Raw genomic sequence first — 18,091 nt, forward strand, 5'->3', positions numbered from 1 at the left:
AATTTCAAAGCAACCCTGAGTTACTCAAGGCAGTGGTAGCCACCCCACAATATGCTGAGTTCTGAGAGCAGAGGAGGCAGTGAACGATTGTGTGAGGCGAGGGACAGCCCAGTTACCCCGATTTGATCCGTAGACATCGCACGAACCTATGAAATATTGTAAGTACCCCCAAAATGTGTACAACTATGACATGTCAATTTAAAAAAAAGGTAGTAAACAGTCTTTGGGTGTCTCTGGTGCCAGGAAACTGTGTTCAAACTAATTTGGGCATAACAGCCAGTAGTTATGGCCACTCCAAAACAAAACTACACAGCTCTTGGGGAGGAAATGGTCAGAGAGAAGGATGCAATATTTGAAGAAGAAATGAACACAACAGGTATATAAAAATTAAGAATGCCAAAGGCCAGTGACTTTGCCCTTGGCCTGAGTTCTGAGAGGTACACAAGAATGGAAATGGACAAAGTGTGAATACTTTGTCGTGCAAAGGTGTTGCATAAAGCTGAACACTATTATGTACATTCAAGTATTCAAGAAATATTTCCTGAGACCCTCGGAATGCCAGGAACCAGACGCAATGTTGAGTAAGACCAGGATTCTGTCCTCAACGTGTTTTCCCAATAATGAAGGAAACGGGTTAAGTACGTGTTTACTTACAATTGTGGTGTGATAAATGCTATTGGAGAGACATAGAAAGGCTGGTAAGGTAAAACCACAGAGGAGAGGCCCTCACTGCAGGGATGCTGATCCACAGAGAGGGAAATGAAGGAAAGAAAACCTCATGGAGGAAGCGCCCAGGAGCTGAATTTCGAAGCTCTCTATGGCAGGAGCTTGGAATCCAGATTTGGGGAGAGCCTGGGAAAGGAGCAAAGTCGGACAGGCCGATGGAGGGGGGCCAAGCCACACCACAGAACGTGGGTTTGACCTGGCAGCCTAGCAATCCCCAAATACTTCTGATCATGCAACCAGAACAGAAAGTTTTGAGCATGAGCATCCAATATATTTATATTTAGTTGCAGTATGCCACTATACCTATTTGCAACATGCCACAGTATTAGGCACATAATAAAATACACCACTAATTAAAGATTAAAAATAAAATAACAGTGAATTAAATAAACATTTTCATTTGGTAAGAACTTTTTCTCACTACCATAATTATGAGTGATACTTATTTCTTTTCCGTTTAACTGTGTGAAATGAAAATAACTCAGCCTTTCCATCTGCCGAAAGCTTGCAGGAGGAGTAGAAAGAAATGCAGGTATCAGCTCTAACCATTTCTTGGGGTTTGCTGATGTTTGCATTTTCCGTATGTCCCCCCACCCGTTATTTCTTTGCAGAGGAATCTTTTCCAACCATTTCTTTTTGTGAAGGTTGGTCTAGAGAGAGTTGGGTTAGTAATCCCAGCCGCTGCTGACGGGGCCCACCAGGCCACAGCAGGTCACCAGAGGCTGGCTACGAGTCAGAGATGGGGGCTACCAACCCCGCCATGCGGTGGGGCTCCCACCCTCCACCCTGGACACAGCCATTATGCACAAGACGCAGGAACCAAAGGAGGGTACGGGCGTCCCCCGCATCTTACATATATTACAGCTCAACTTATTTTCTTATTTTTAGAATCAACTTTGTTCTAAGAAGCTCTCCCTTTGCCTCCTGCGGTGACCTTCCATGTCTTGCTCTAGAGGCCACTGGCAAAGCAACCGGGCCTAGTGCTAGGAGGGGAGGGCCAGGGCCGCTGGGAGATGCGCATATAAACTGCAGGGGCTAACACGGGCCAGAGTCGTCCAGGGCCGCTCAGCTGCAGAGGCCTGAGAATCCTGACAGCGGGAGGATGTTGAGTGTCACTCCTGAGCTCCGAGGGTGAGCTCGCTTAGCCCAGTGGTTCTCGACTGCAGGGTGAACCCGAATGGACTGGAACCAACGTGGTTGGCAACACACACGGCTGGCTCAGCCCCAGGGTTTTGGATTCAGCAGGTCAGGGCTGGGAGGCAAGGAGTTGCATGTCCAACAGGTCTCGGTGCTGCTGGAGCTCCAAGCCACACTTGGACTTGGAGAGCCGCTTTGTCAGTGCGTATGCATGAGGAGGCGGGAGAAGGGCAAACTCCTGTGGGTAGCTGCAATGACTGGCTATAGCTGGAGGAAGAAAGCCGTATCACAGAGGGCAAGGGGGATGGTGCTGAGATGGATAGGGCAGGCTGAGCAACACTCATGTGTCCCAGGGAAGACAGGTTGTCTGAAAGGAGCCACTGGGATTAGAAACCAAGAGGGTTCTGGAGCCCACGGAGGCCTCTGAGAATCAAAACCACACTGTGGGAGGGCAAGATGTGGACGTGGGGCCTAAGAAACCATTCTTTCAAGGAGATGGACTCTGGAGGGAAAAGAGGAAAGGAGGAGCCGTAGGGATTCATTTTTGTTTTACTTCTTTTTCTCCCCCCCAACTGTTTTTATGGTGGCAAAATACACAGAACATAAAATTTGCCATTTTAATCCTTTTTATGTGTACAGCGCAATGGTATGAAATACATTCATAATGTCGTAATGTCAGACAACCACCACCAACACCAGAGCTCCTTCCATCTTGCAAAACTGAAACACTGTCCCCATCAAACACCAACCCCGTTCCCCTCCCCCAGCCCCAGCAACCCTGCTTTACTGTCTGTCCTTGACTTTGACAACACTAAGTGCCTCTTAGAAGTGGAATGATATTTGTCTGTTCGTCACTGGCTTACTTCGCTGAGCTTAATGTCCTCTAGGTTCATCCATGTTGCAGGGTGCGTCGGGATTCCCGTCCTTTCTAAGGCTGGTAATACCCACTGCACGGATGACCCCGTTCTGCTCATTATTCATCAATGGAAACACACTTGGGTTGGGTCCACATATTAACTCTTTAACAATGCTGCTATGAACAGTGGGTACAAATATCTCTTCGAGACCCTTGTTTTGCTTCGTTCTTAAAGACGAGGATGACTAGTAAGACCCTGTCTCTTAAAAAGTAAAAAGAAAATATTAGCCAGCTGTAGTAGCCCATGCCTGTTGTCCCAGCTACTCAAGAGACAGGAGCCCAGGAGGTCGCGGCTGCAGTGAGCTATGACTGCACCACTGAACTCCAGGCTGGCTGACACAGCAAGACTCTGTCTTAAAATAAAATACAATATATACAAATAAAATAATAAAGAAAATTGATGAAGACAGCTAGACAACATTGACGTGTCAAGGAGGAAGCCCCAGAAGAGAGAAGTATTGAGAAGAAGAAGAGGAACTTGGGAGAGAGGAGGATCTTTGAGGAAGCAAGAAGGGGGACCCTAGAGCTGAGCTAAAGGGACTCCACATGATGAGGCAGGCACAGGTGTGGCATGGGCAGCTCACAAACCCTGGCCTCATTTTCTCAGGGGGAACACCAGGGTCAGAGGCTCTGGGGCCTGTGAAGATCAGGAATCGCCATGAGAGGCGTGGAAAATGGAATTAACTGGGAAGGAGAGGAGAAAAGGATGACTGTGGACTGTGTCCCCTCAGGCAACACTCTGCAGTCTGGTGCAGGCCCCTGGGTGTGGGTGGTTGGGATCCCCAAGTCGGTTGGGGGTGGCAGAAAGGCCACAATGCAGAGGTGCTGACAGTATGGAGGGGCATGTGGGGGGAGAGGCAATGGCCCCAGGGTCTGGCTAGCATTGGAGTAGAGGGCTGTGGATTGAACTCAGTTCACAGATACTCTGAGCAAGCTCGTGACATGCAGATCCCTGGGCTCCACCACCAAGAGATCCGGATACAGCAGGCCTGGGCAGGGCCTGGGAATCTGCATTTCTATCAGGCTTCCAGGCGAGGCCGATGCTGATACATTCCATAGGGTGCACTTGGACACGTGCCCATCTGGTCCAACATGCTCATCGTCTAGCGTGGAAAAAAGAATGCAGAGAGCTTAAGCGAACAGAACAGAACCCACTTCCTGGGGAGCCAAGTCAGGACCCCCTGCCTCCGTCACCCTGCCCACCCCAAAACATCCCCCTTGTGGCCAGACTGTGATATTCAGGATTTGTTCACATTTTGTATATAAGAGAACAGACGAACTTCAGCCTCACCCATTGCTCTTTCCCTCTGGATGAATATTCCTGGATAAACCTCCGGGCATGCTGTCTTGGGTACACTTGCCATTGCCATGCCGTCCCTCTAGTTAGTCCCTCTAGGTCAGGGGTCTCAGGGCCAGGGGAGAGGCTGGGCAGCTCTTCAATTCAGCCCAATCAGAACGACATGAGTCTGAAGGGAGAAGGGAAATGCTCTGAAAAATTACATTGAAGGGATTCATAGGAACTGCCTTAGATCTTGTTTTTCAACTCCATCTCTTCCTTTACAAACAAAATCTGGATCATGGGTTTAAAGGGGCTTTGAGATCCTTGAATGAAAGGAACTAGGTCAAAGCTTGCTCTGAGTATGTGGTTTTCTGCTTTAAAAACTTGGGAAACTGATTGGTTACAGAATATAGTCCAAAGCTCTGGACACAGCATGCAGGGTTCATGATGAGTTTCTTTTCCATCTAGTCCCTGTCACCCCCAGCATAATCTACCCAGATCATATTTTCAGCTTTACATGAAGTAACTTGGGATTTTTCTGTTCTCTGAGTATCTTCCATTGTTTCCCTTCCCTGGGATGCTCCTCTGCCCAACACTAGAGAGCACTGGTGGCCATTCCTAAAAACGCACCGGAAAATGTCCAAGTTTCCTGCTCCCCTTTAAAAACGTTTGAGCTGTCCACCAATGGATGAGTGGATAAACAAAATGTGGTCCGTCCAAACAGCAGAGTAAGATCCAGCCGTAAGGAGGACGGAAGCTCTGACGGGCTACGACGTAGGTGAGCCTTGAGAATACGGCGCTGAGTGAAAGAAGCCAGACACAAACGGCCACCTAGTGTATGACCCCGTTTCTATGAAATGAACAGGAAAGGAGACAGAAAGCAGATTCGTGGTTGCCAGGGTAGTGGGGGGAAGAGGGAGATGGAGAGTGACGGTTTTATTTTGGGATGATGAAAATGTTTTGGAACTAGAGGTGGGGGGTTGCGTAACATTATGAACGCATTAAATATCATGGAATTGTTCACTGTAAAATAGTTAATGTAGTGTTATGTGAATTTCACCTCAATTAAAAAAACAACAACAACAACAACCAAAGCCATCATGTGAGGCCCAGCAAATCTGAGCCCTCATTCTCTCCTGGTAACTGGCTAGGACTAAGCAGCCACTGGCCCTTCAGGTCAGCATCCACGTTCCCAATTGTCACACTCCCTGCTTCCCTTGTTGGGCCATCAGCGGGAGGGCAGAGTGTGTTTTATTCACATCAATGGGAGGACAGAGTGTGTTTTACTCACAGCACTTAACAGGGTGCGTTCGGCAGTCCAGATGCTCACATTTCCTTGCTCGCCAACTTCTAGAACCCGGTCTGTCCCTTCTGCAGCATCATCCCCTACGACTCCCCTGCCTGTGCCTGGCGTTGCTCCCGTGCTGGATGACTTGCAGTTTTCTAAACACCTCACATGTGCTCAGACCAACGTGCTCCGCCATGCCGATCCTCCTGTTCCCTGCAAACCCAAATCAGCCTTCAGGGCTTCAGCAGCGTTGAGTCACGAAGCATCCCTCAGCAACCTCCCGCTGAGCACCCACAGGATTGGTGGCACTCTGCTCACCTTCCCTGGTGGGTACACCCCTCTAGAGGCGGCTCCCGGAAAAAGAATCTGTAACTATTCATTTTTTAACTTCCAGAGTCAGGCACGAAGTTATACCTAGCAACGGATCCCAGAAGGGGTCCTGGTGGTGCTGTCAACATGGAAATTTTAAAGGTCACATTTTTTTTTCCTTGAATTTCTTTTCAAATTTTCGTTGAGTTTTCCTTTTCAAATTTTAGGTGAGCTTCTTGCGACATGATGTTTACACTCTCAGAAGAATGAGGGGTTTTGCCTCTGTCTTGCTATATCACAACTTATGTCTTTAGAAACTATTTCATACTTCACACACCAAGACACTCCAGCGATGTTCTTTAGCAGAGGCAAGTAAGGAGTTTAGCATATAGAGAAAATAAAGCAGAGGGAAAAGTGTTACTTCTATAGTGTAAGGTGCATTCACGGTATTTTTCTCCCGAGTTGAGGCTGTAAACATCTATTTCTTGTTTTATGGCTCCATCTGCTGGCAGGTCTCAGAATGTCTTTCTCATCAACACCTTAAATCCTTGGAAAAGTTATGTTCACATTGTATTCCAAAAGGCACCATTTAGTTTTTACAAAGCGAAAGCCTTTGGAAAGCTATTTTTCTTTCAAACTACTGGCTTCCAACGCCTTTTGGCCTCGCCCCAAATTTATTAGCCTTCTCTGAGCATAAGAATAACTTGATGTTACTTCTTGAAATTCCTTGCACCCGTCCCAGACCTCCTGGAATCAGCGTGATCTGGGAGTCTGTATTATTTGGAAGTTCCCTCAGTGGATGCTTACACTCAGGCTAGTGTGGGAAACGCTGACATCTAACCTGCCCCTTTCATGGCACAGATGAGACGTAGGATTTGGGAAGGTGGCTTGGGGAGCCTTCAGCCCTCTCCAGCCCCCGATTCCCAGGCATGCGCTTTTAAGTATGAATAATAAGCAATATGTAGGCCGGGCTCTGTGGCTTATGCCTGTAATCCCTGCACATTGGGAGGCCAAGATGGGTGGATCACTTGAGCCCAGAAGTTTGAGACCGGCCTGGGCAACATGATGAAACCCTCTTTCTACAAGAAATACAAAAAAATTAGCTGGGTGTATTTCTCGTATTTCTACAAGAAATACAAAAAAATTACTACAGGTGGCACACACCTGTAGTACCAGCTACAGGGGAGGCTGAGGCAGGAGGATCACCTGAGCCCAGGAGGTCGAGGCTGCAGGGAGCCATGATCCCACCATTGCACTCCAGCCTGACAGAGCCAGACCCTGTCTCAAAACAAAACAAAGAACACAAAATTATGTGGGCATGGTGGTGGGTGCCTGTAGTCGCAGCTACTCAGGAGGCTGGGAGACGGAGGTTGCAGTGAGCCAAGATCCTGCCACTGCACTCCAGCCTGGGCGACAGAGTGAGACTCCGTCTCACAAAAAAAAAAAAGGAAAAGCACTATGTTTACCGTATAAATGCAGTTTTAAAACCTGTCTGCAGAGGCGACCCTATTTCTACTACCTCCTACAATCATGTTTATAGTTATGGAACATAACAGGTCAGGCAGTTAGTGAGCCTCAGTCCCACTTCCACCTTGACAAATAAACCTGTTCTATCTTACAATATTTCCGGTTGTTTTGTGGCTGTTGACTTTGCCTCCATGAGGAAATTAACTCCTATGGAGGGCACCTAGCTCGGCGTAGACCCGGTCGCTACCACCTGCGATGCCTTGGAAATGCAGCCGGCGGGGCCCACCTGTGGAGCCTGCAGACCGGAATCTCTGGTCTGTGTCCTAACCAGCCCTGCAGGTGATCCCCCGCAGGTGAAGGCTGAGAACCCCTGCGGTCCACGTTGGCATGCACCCAAGGCACAAGTCATTGAAAGCTAAATTTCCAGGTAACGGCCTCCTGGCACCTTAGACTTGCATTGCAGTTTTATTTTCTTTGGGGTCAAAGTTCAAATCTCTGTGTGCTGAGTGAAAGAGCTTCCGACGTTAAAGGCCAGACCAAGATCGAGTCCACTGCTACAGTAGGGCGCTCGGTGCCCACGTGGGCACCATTTCGAAGTCTATGGAGGGTCTACTTCGTGCGCCGCCGCCCAGTTCCACGAGCTAGTAGGGAACTGGCCCGACCCCGTGTCCGCCTGCAGGGGGCTGGCACTGGGGGAACTGCAGGAGTCAAGCCAGGGAAGGCCGGGGGTCTGGGCGAAGCAGAAGAGGAACAGGGCGGGGCCTGGGTGGGGCTGGCCGGGGCCTGTGGGGAGGGGGCAGGGCACGTGTTGGGTGTCTGGGCGGGGCCAGGCGGGGTCTTGGGGGGACAGGGGCGGAGCCTGTGGGGCGGGGGCGGGGCCTGTGGGGGCCTGGGCGTGGCGTCTAGGCAGGGCCAGGCGGGGTCTTGGCGGGATGGGGGCGGGGCCTATGGGGAGGGGCCAGGGCATGTGCGGGGTGTCTGTCCGGGGCCAGGCGGTGTCTTGGGGGGCCAGGGGCAGGGCCTGTGGGGCGGGGCGGGCCTGGCTTGTTGGGCCTGTGCCGGGTGTCCGGGAGGGGCCAGACGGGGTCTTGGAGGGGCGGGGCCGGGGCCTGTGGGGCGGGGCTCCTCTGGTCCCGCCCCGGCCACATCAGAAACCGCCGTTTGCGGGGCAGCCAATGAGGGCGTGGCGCGCGCCGCTTTCCGCCGTTACTGGGCGTATGGCGTACAGACACGAGGCCGGCGCCCGGGAGGCGGTGTTCATCCGCCCGGGAAAAGAGCGCCTGTTGCTCGCTGCCCGCGTGTCCCTGGCTCTCTCGGGAACCCAGCGCCGAAGGCGAGGTGGGCGCGGGCCGAAGGAGGTCCTGGGAGGTCGGCGGCGCGGAGGGATCTCCGCGGGAGCCGTTGGGGCTGTTGGCCTCGGGCTGAGGTGCAAGGACCAGGACTAGGGCGAGGGCAGCGGTCCAAGGTGCGGGGCCAGGCTGAGGTGCTAGGTGTGCGGGGGCCGGGATGCGGGGGCGGCGGCTGGGGGTCCGGGATGTGGAGGTGAGGCTCGAGGTGCGGGGACCGGGTTGCGGGGGCGAGGTCCCAGGTGCGGGGGATGCAGGAGCCGGGTGCGGGGTCGAGGTCCCAGGTGCGGGAGATGCAGGAGCCGGGTGCGGGGGCGAGGTCCCAGGTGTGGGAGATGCAGGAGCCGGGTGCGGGGGCGAGGTCCCAGGTGCAAGGGATGCAGGAGCCGGGTGCGGGGGCGAGGTCCCAGGTGCGGGAGATGCAGGAGCCGGGTGCGGGGGCGAGGTCCCAGGTGTGGGAGATGCAGGAGCCGGGTGCGGGGGCGAGGTCCCAGGTGCGGGAGATGCAGAAGCCGGGTGCGGGGGCGAGGTCCCAGGTGTGGGAGATGCAGGAGCCGGGTGCGGGGGCGAGGTCCCAGGTGCGGGGGATGCAGGAGCCGGGTGCGGGGGCGAGGTCCCAGGTGTGGGAGATGCAGGAGCCGGGTGCGGGGGCGAGGTCCCAGGTGCGGGGGATGCAGGAGCCGGGTGCGGGGGCGAGGTCCCAGGTTTGGGAGATGCAGGAGCCTGGGGTGCAGGGGCCGGGGTGCGGGGGCGATGTATCAGGTGTGGGGGGTGCGGGGCCGGGGGGAAGCGCTGAGGCCCGACTTGCCGGGGCTGTAGGGCCGGGGTGCGGGGGTGCAGGGGCCGGGGTGCGGGGGCGAGGTCCCAGGTGCAGGGGCCGGGGTGAGAGGCTGAGGCCTGAGTTGCCGGGGGTGCGGGGGCGGAGGTCTCCGCATTGGCGGCCGTGCGTGAGACTGCGGGGACCTGAGAGCTCTGCAGGAGGGCCTTCGGGACCTCCCGCACTACCCACGCGGCCGCGGGGCGCGATCTCTGCGGAGGGCGAGGGCCCCTTCCCGCGTCCGCCGCCGCTGCGCTGCGCCCCCGGGAGCCTTGGGAGCCGGACGTTGGGAAGAGGACGGAACTCCGGAGGACCCCAAGTGAGGCGGCGACCGCGACGGCCGGGCTCTGCGAGGCCCGGGGGTCCTCGCGGGTGCTGGCGGCCCGGCCCTTGGCACCTGTGGAGGGAAAGGGGCGGCGGGGCGGTGGCGTCCTGGGATGGATGCTCTCGCCGTCTTCAGCCCCGGCGGCCTCCAGGGCAAAGCCGGCTGCACCCCTGCGCAGCCTGTTCTCTGAGCGCTTTTCTTTTCGTTTTTAAGTTGTGGCCAGAGAGACCCCGCTCGCATAGAATGTACCGCTCAACGGTTTTTAGGCGTGTGGCGCGGTGGTGGTTCCCACGTGCACGGCGTGGTCCTGAGCTCAGCGCCGGAGGGACGTTAGGTGGAAGCGTCTTTGGCAGAGCTGGTAGCGAATCGGAGAGGTGATTTCCAGCGAGTGTGGTTATTGGAAGCACACACTTGCTTTCTGACTTTAAGAATTCAATATCCAGACTGAGGTGGTTTTGAAACTGGAAGGAGATAAAGCTGAAAACCAGAGTTGTGCTGGGAAACCTGGACGTAGAGCGCTGAGCCCCCCAGGTATTTAGTGACCAGCACAGCGCGCCGCCGTGGGTTTCAGGCCCTGGAGATGATGAGAATCAGCTGGAGGGCTGCTTCCAGTCGGCTTCTAACTCGGGAGGGCTGAGAGCCGCTCCCCACCCCGTAATTTCTGTTCCCAGCCAGTCCAGATGCTGCCCGTCAGGGACCAGGCTTTGAGAACTGACGTGCTGCTTTAGGAATATTTCCTGCTGGAGATGAGAGTTCAGCTTGTCACTGTTTTTTAATCACTGTTTCACACCGTTGTTTGTAAGGTGTCAAGCGACGGACTGGGTGCAAAGGCATCAATTGTGATTCGCAGCCTAGTTGGAGAAGCTATGGAGTGCAGAGATGTGGGGAGGGAGAAAACAGGTTACCATGTAGTAGGGTGACCGTGGTCACGCCGGGGAAACGGCTTTCGGAGAAGGGAGCAAGGGATGGCCTGCGAGCTGGTCCTTAAGCGGTTCACTGGATTCTTGTGGTTTCAGAGGAGGGTGAGGCTTTGTTAGCAGAGGGTGTGCCACGGTGTAGGGTGAGTCACGGAATTGATAGTGATAGGAAGCAAGTTGTGTTTGCTGGAGTCTCAAGCGGATGCTTTCAGATTGATTTGTAGATCAGCAGTCCCCAGTCTTTTTGGCACCAGGGACCGATTTCCTGGAAGACAATTTTTCCACGGACCGGTGAGGGATGGTTTCGGGATGAAACGGTTCCACCTCGGATTATCAGGCATTAGATTCTCATAAGGAGCAGGCAGCCCAGACCCTTGGCACGCCGACTTCACAGTAGGGTTCTCACTCCTAGGAGAATCTAATGCCTCCACTGATCTAACAGGAGGTGAGCTCAGGCTGTCCTGCTCACTCACTGCGGCTCACTTCCTGCTGTGTGGCCTGGTTCCGGTACAGGTCCATGGGGCGTGGGGGTTGGTGGTGGTGGTTGGGGGAGGGGGGGTGGGGGGAGGGGGGTTGGTGGTGGTGGTGGTGGTGCTGCTGCTGCTGCTGGGGACGCTGCCTGTAGATTATCAGTAAGAGACTTTCATGCGCCAGTATGCCCCGTGTGTAAGCCGAGCATGCATACGTAATCATTGTCATGATGCGCACATTATAAAATAAATACAAAGCAGTTTAAAATGAGATTTAAAATTAGTTGTAATATGCTGGCACCTCAGCGGATTATCCTGTGTAAACTCCTTTGGAAATTGCTGATTTAGAGTCATATTGTAAGGGGTCTTATACAATGAATATTTGCTTTAATCCTGTAAAATACAATAGGAAGTCGGAGGTTTTTAAAATTGAAAAATGGCATTAGATTTATCTTTCTGTGAAGATCATGAAGCCAAGAATTTTAGAAGCTGTTAAAACTCAGAGGATGAAAAAGATAATGTGATTTAAGGCAGAGTGATGGTAGATGATGTCATCGCCTGCCCCTATGTAGAACCTTGGATGGTTTCTCATGTGTTGAGTATCCAAGCTGTCTGCAGGACCCTGAGCAGTCTGCTCCCTGCCCACATGAAATCCTCCACTCCCCTTGCCCCTTCTCTTTCCAGTCCCACTGGACGTCTTTTGGTTCTGCATCCAGTTCAAGCACTTATGTGTGGGTTGTTACCGTTTGTGTGAAAGACTGGTACCACCCTACCTTCCAATTCCTAATTCTCTGTTTCAGCTTAAATCTTGTTAGAGGTGGATAACAAGGTGCAACAAGTGTTAGAGAATTCTACCAAAGATATTTTGGATTTATCCTAAGATCTAACTACTTCATATGAAAAAGATAACACTACTAGCATCCTGCCTTCGTGTAGTATTCTAAGAAGCTGACTTCAAGTTGCTTTTAAAGCTGTGTGTAAATAACGTGTATTAACACGTGTAGTTATAATTTTACCTGCCCTTTCCATTAGGGCTAATGTTTGTTGACTGCTCACTAGAGGCCAGTGTGAGTTCTCATTTGATCTTCACCATTGACTTGTGCAGTAGGTTATTCCAACCATTCGACAAAGAGTCACACGCTATGTTGTTTTCTCATGTTGTCTAAAATGTGAAGGAGTTGGGTTCAGGCAGTTGAGCTCTGAGGCCTCTACCCTTAATAGCCTGATGACATTGTGTACCACCACGATGAGGGTGAGAGATTGTTACAGCTGAGCCCAAAGCTGATCCCAGCTCACAGGAAGCACTTAGTACCATCATGATGTTGAAGAAATGGAGAGAACGGTCCTGGCAGATGTAGGAGAAATAAAGGAGTGGTTTTGAAATCAATGACTCCATTCTTTTTATTTAGATATAACGTATATGGTGATGCCACTCACCAAGAATGAAATTATGGGACATGAGGTAGAAGAGATACTAGTTTGGGTATGTTCAGTGTAAGCCACACATGGAACTCTGGGAAGATCCAGGATGACTCATTATGTATGCAGAAGGATTTTCTAAGGGGCCTGGCGGGACACTTGCCACAAGTGCCTGTTTCCGTGTGTGTGTGTGTGTGTGTGTGTGTGTGTGTGTGTCTGTGTATGGGAGTATGTGTTAAGTGTGTGTACATGTGTATCTCCAAATGGGAAAGAAAGAACCAGCCACCAGCATCCTAATTCTTTCAGCACTTTCTCCTCCTAAGTCTGTTTATAATAAATAATCCAAATGAAAAACTAAGTCTTATATTAAAATAGGTTTTCCCCTTTGGCCCTACTGCAGTGCCCAGTGCAAGGTAAGCAACTGAGTTTGTTGAATGTAGGAATGTTACATTAAAAAAAACTGTCATTAAAGATTAGAAGGATACATAATAATTGCCTGGGGAGCTTACTTTTGAAACTCAAAGAAGTTTAAAGTAACATTGTAGAAATTATCAAATGCGATTGCCTCCATTGAGTATTGTCTTCAAGATTGTTTCCTCTCCAGAAATAGAAAACAATGACTGGGAGAGCCCGAGCCAGAGCCAGAGGAAGGGCCCGCGGTCAGGAGACAGCGCAGCTGGTGGGCTCCACTGCCGTGAGTGCTTCACCGTTTCTGACTACAGAAAATGTCTTTGACTCTTGATCAGCCTAGGCTGTTGAAAATAAACTAAAAACTGTGCTGGGAAGGATATAGGAAGTGAGCAAGGGAGATCATGCCCTGTTTCCTCAGGATATTAGAAGCTGATTCGTGACTTTATTTGGTGACTCTTCTCTCAAATTTATTTTTAAGAATAAAATATTTGATTATTAATTTAGATAGGTGTTGGTTGAATTCCTGAGACTTAAGACTAGAAATTTTCTCTGGTGTCTGACCGCTTGACGAAAAGAATGTTCTTTATTTGCATGTAACTACAGAGTCAGCAACCTGGTTATATTCAGCCTAGGCCTCAGCCGCCACCAGCAGAGGGGGAATTATTTGGCCGTGGACGGCAGAGAGGAACAGCAGGAGGAACAGCCAAGTCACAAGGTGAAGAGAAAGTAAAAGGAAGTCTTAACAACTCTGTTCAACATATACAGCAAATTTTATTGAATTAAAACTTGGTACAAAAATTTGTGCTGAAACTGTTTAAGAAACATTTCCTTATAATGTTGCCACAACACACAAATCAATTGTGGAAAATACTTAAATATAATTTCTTAAACATTCTATGTATCAGTCTTCATTAATAAATGACTTAAAAAAATGGTTACTCAGGATTGCAAATTTAACTCTATGGAACAGTTCCCTATCTGTAACAAGGTAGTGTCTACCTGTAGAGGTAAAGATCATTGTGACCATTAATACATGGGATAACAAATGAAGGCCCTGTTTTGTCATCTCTCACTGCTCTTTAGGGATTATACCTGAGAATTGCTTGTCACGGTAAATGCTCAAATACCTAATGTATTGTAGAAATTAATATAAGTTTAACAGATTATTGTTAATTAGACATTGTTTGGACCTTGATTTTCATTCTGTAAAGGGATGTGGATGCATTGAAGGATTCTTTTTTTTTTTTTTTTTTTTTTGAGACGGAGTCTCACTCTGTCTCCCAGGCTGGAGTGCAGTGGCGCGATCTCTGCTCACTGCAGACTCCACCTCCTGGGTTCCTGCCATTCTCCTGCCTCAGCCTCCCGAGTAGCTGGGACTACAGGCGCCCACCACTGCGCCCAGCTAATTTTTTTGTATTTTTTAGTAGAGATGGGGTTTCACCGTGTTAGCCAGGACGGTCTCGATCTCCTGACCTCGTGATCCTCCCGGCTTAGCCTCCCAAAGTGCTGGGATTACAGGCGTGAGCCACCGCACCCGGCCCATTGAAGGATTCTTAAATAGCACAGTGGTGTGAGGTCTGATGTGTGTTTGAAATAAAATCACTCTAGGAGCTGCATGGAAGGGGGAATTAGCAAGGTTCCCAGTCTTGTCCATTCTGAAATCTGTCCTCTTCATCAAGTGACAAAATCAAGCTTTGGCTAAGTGTCATAGCAGTACTGTATATCTCAAGCAGAACTGATTTCATCATTGTTTATATTCAGAAACTGGCAATTGGATTTTTGCGTCCAGAACTGAATTTTTTTAAGACAAATTAAAAATTTTTAAGGAAAAATATCAGCCTTTATGACCCTTCAGTGTCATCAGGTTGGATTCAGTATGCGTGATTTAGTGTAGTTACTCACCCAGTGCCATCAATACTTCAAACCAAGCCTCTGGGATAAAAAGCTCACTGAGAGAGACAAGTATGAACAGTTACATGTTTAAAGGATTTTTAGGTAGAGCCCCCTCCAAATCATGAGGTACAGAAACAAACATGGAAGTGCCTTGTAAAGTGCTTTAGACGTGATATTTAAAACTTCTGACATGCCTGTGATGCTTATTCTCAATTTTTCAGGTGAAGGAATTGACACTCATATTAAATAACTGGTTTCCAAAGTATAGCAAGGACTGAAATATTTTAAGCCACTGTTATTTCTCTAAGGAAGTCTAGAGAGTAGGCAGTTCTGGTGTTTGTGGTCAGAAGAGAACTGGACTCTGATCTTTTTGTTCTTTTGTCCTGGGCTCATGACTGCCATCATTAAGACCTCTGTTTGGTTCAGAACTTCTGTATTTGAGCCCTCCCTGCCAGATCCAGATTCCAGGCTCCATGGGCAGGGCAAAGGGTCAGGAAGTACAAAAGTCACATGTCAGCTATTGGCTCTCTTATGGAATTTTTCCAAAAGTGTCATCCTGCAATTTCTGCTTAAGTATCTTAGGCCATCCCTAACCATGGGGAGGGTGGAAATTTTAGTCTATTAAGTATATTACTCCAAAAATAGAATTTATTTAAAGAATGAGGGGTTAGTTATTGGATAGTCAACTGGTAATCTCTTTTACACAAGATAACATGCCTATTAATTGACAGCTGGAATTTTAATGCTTGACTACAAAGTTCATATTTGTTTTTTGGCTCACATCAGATTGTTGATCTGAGATAATTGTATAATTTCAGCAAATCAAATGACTTGAATAATTTAGGTTCTTATAACCACAGCTTGTAGCACTAAGCATGAACTGATTAATCACGACCTTATTACCTATACCAGTATGAGATGCGTGTCATGGTCATAGAATATGTGCAGGTGCAGAAATCCATTCTTCTGATTCTGAAGAGAGTCAGGTAGTGAGGAAGTTGCATTTTAGATGTAAGTTTTCTAATCCAGGTTACAGATTTAAACCCTCTAAACCAGCAACTTCTGTAGTTGTAATTGCATCATGACAGACTGTGGAAAATACATGAAGACCTTTAGGTAGTTATCAGACTTACAATACAGAAAAATAATTTCCCAGTCAGCAAACATATGCTCCTGCACTCTTGCACCACAGTCCAGTTGGCTTGATCTCTTGATTCAAGGTGCACATCTCTTGAAAGGGTGCATCTGCAATTGCCCAGGACAGTGACAAGGCCTTTATGAATGAAGTTATAACTAGGAAACCATTCTCTCGTTAGGCTGGCAGATACCTAAAACATGTTGATAGGATTGTTTTATGCCTTGTCTTCTACACCTCAGTATCCTTTGGATTACACATAATAGCACTATGGGAGTTAATATTGTCATCCTTTATTTCGTGCTTTATGTTGCTCAAGTACACAATTTTTTTTTAAGGACTCCAGATATCTGCTGGATTTCAGGAGTTATCGTTAGCAGAGAGAGGAGGTCGTCGTAGAGATTTTCATGATCTTGGTGTGAATACAAGGCAGAACCTAGACCATGTTAAAGAATCAAAAACAGGTAGGTTAATTAAGAATAAGTTTTGTGAGATTACATCTCAGGAACACAGGACAGTGAATTGAGGCACTTTAGTTTAGGTGTTTATTTGGCCAAGGATCCTGCATGGCTTTTCGATTTTCCTCACTTTCTTTTGGCGTTGATGAAGTAGGTTATAGATATCTTTAACTGCACATTTTGAAACGTCATCTCATTAAATATTAATAGATCATTTTTAAAACTCTTTGCCATGAAGAGATTTAGTTGGTTTTGTTGCAAATTATTTGTAAATTACTTAGTCTAAGGAAGATTTGTTTCTAAATGTATGCTTCTTTAGAAATTCACCTAAAGAGAGAGACTAGTGGTCTCCAAAGTCAGATGTCTGAGGACTTTCATGTTGTCTGCTGCTCTTAGCCTTGTGTTTACGGAACTGTGCCTGCCTTGTCATGGTAGGAAAGATTTCAAGGAAAAATAAACTTGATATTTTGTTAATTGACTATAACTTCCTTTTCCAGGTTCTTCAGGCATTATAGTAAGGTTAAGCACTAACCATTTCCGGCTGACATCCCGTCCCCAGTGGGCCTTATATCAGTATCACATTGACTATAACCCACTGATGGAAGCCAGAAGACTCCGTTCAGCTCTTCTTTTTCAACACGAAGATCTAATTGGAAAGTGTCATGCTTTTGATGGAACGATATTATTTTTACCTAAAAGACTACAGCAAAAGGTTATTTGGGAAAAGGGAGATGGGGGATTTCCACTTCAAAGCAGAACTACCACAATGTAAGATAGCTCACATGGCTTTTAGAGAGGCCCCAGGAGTCTCCTGTCTGATATGACTTGGAATAAACACATAGGGTACTTTGGCATTATTGTAGCATTGTCAGATTTGTCTGGGTAACTTGATGATTACAATTGAGTTATAATACACTTAGCCACTCTTTTTCTCAGAGCCATTTAAAAAAAATCCAGTTAAAACATTTTATGGTTTTCAATGTTGCCTTATTAAGCAAGCAGTATGTGATTGGGCATAATTGTCCTTTAAGGATTTAAAGTTTGGGTTTTCCACCTCTCTGGCTTCAGGTTACTGAAGTTTTTAGTAAGACCCGGAATGGAGAGGATGTGAGGATAACGATCACTTTAACAAATGAACTTCCACCTACATCACCAACTTGTTTGCAGTTCTATAATATTATTTTCAGGAGGTATGTGTTTTATTTCAACATTTTATTAAGAAAACAGCAAAGTTGAAATAATTGTACATTGAACATCTGCATTCAGTTCTCCTAGATTTTCAGCATTGGTTGGGATTATTGAGTTTCTCTGTATTGCAGTAACTTAAGGTGTGGTTTACTGATAGAAAATTCATCTATTTGCTTTAAGCAAGTATCCTGCCTTTACTTCCCTAATTCTGTTGACTTCAAATACTGTCTGAGCTTGTGTTCAGAACACTCATATCCTCGAGAGCTATTGCGAACTTGGTATTCCTTCTCCCCACGGTGGGTCCTTGATCAGGAGGAGGTGCAGAGTTCAGGTCGTTTGTTCCACCACAGGAGATATACTGCATGCTTGATAATTTGCTTTCAGTGTACATATCACATATTTCCTATCCAAAAGCAAGACACGTGTTCTGCAAAAATTTTTGTTTTTTGAGGGGGATGAGAAACAATCTGGATAAGGCTGAAATTTTCGTGAGAATAGTAGGGCATAATACTTGTATCTGTAATTTCCCTCTTTAAGTTAGTCATAAGATAACTGTCACTGATGATAGGACAATTCATTGTGATAAATAC

General features: G+C 48.3%; 1 protein-coding gene and 1 long non-coding RNA gene across 11 annotated transcripts in view, besides 1 other annotated feature; one reads left to right on the top strand and one right to left on the bottom strand.

Annotated features, from left to right (window-relative positions):
- Positions 1-2,633: 2,633 nt before the first annotated feature.
- LOC101927786 (uncharacterized) lies at positions 2,634-6,681 on the bottom strand. 3 transcript variants are annotated; one of them, XR_945554.4, is made up of 4 exons: positions 5,761-6,681; positions 5,350-5,559; positions 4,071-4,245; positions 2,640-3,882 (listed from the first exon to the last, which is right to left on the bottom strand). It is a non-coding gene; the product is annotated as an uncharacterized LOC101927786 (long non-coding RNA). The 3 variants fall into 3 exon arrangements; XR_945553.4 differs by having other exon boundaries at positions 5,665-6,681; XR_242978.5 differs by having other exon boundaries at positions 2,634-3,882; positions 5,350-6,681.
- Positions 5,452-5,621: an enhancer, noted in NCBI's record as "experimental_25825 CRE fragment used in MPRA reporter constructs". NCBI's record gives its function as "activates a minimal promoter by MPRAs in K562 erythroleukemia cells, with activity observed for both the introgressed and non-introgressed 12:130819641 variant alleles {active_cell/tissue: K562}" and the evidence as "EXISTENCE:reporter gene assay evidence [ECO:0000049][PMID:34662402]".
- A 1,646-nt stretch (positions 6,682-8,327) lies between the features above and the next one.
- The window catches only part of PIWIL1 (piwi like RNA-mediated gene silencing 1), an 88,374-nt gene continuing 78,610 nt past the window's right edge, over positions 8,328-18,091 (top strand). For 3 of the 8 annotated variants that reach the window (XR_007063144.1, NM_004764.5, NM_001190971.2), the window contains exons 1-6: positions 8,328-8,587; positions 13,021-13,110; positions 13,431-13,542; positions 16,194-16,319; positions 16,811-17,025; positions 17,382-17,503. Coding sequence is in view for 7 of the 8 variants with exons in the window: in NM_004764.5 (NP_004755.2) it covers positions 13,033-13,110; positions 13,431-13,542; positions 16,194-16,319; positions 16,811-17,025; positions 17,382-17,503 (653 nt within the window). In the remaining variant the exon portion in view is untranslated. Of the gene's footprint in view, positions 8,613-9,581; positions 9,605-9,860; positions 10,142-13,020; positions 13,111-13,430; positions 13,543-16,193; positions 16,320-16,810; positions 17,026-17,381; positions 17,504-18,091 lie in introns of those variants that run through there. The other 5 variants (XM_011539002.4, XM_047429892.1, XM_011539003.4 and 2 more) reach the window with 4 other exon arrangements.

Source organism: Homo sapiens, chromosome 12 (genome assembly GCF_000001405.40).
Source record: "Homo sapiens chromosome 12, GRCh38.p14 Primary Assembly".
Lineage (NCBI taxonomy): Eukaryota > Metazoa > Chordata > Mammalia > Primates > Hominidae > Homo > Homo sapiens.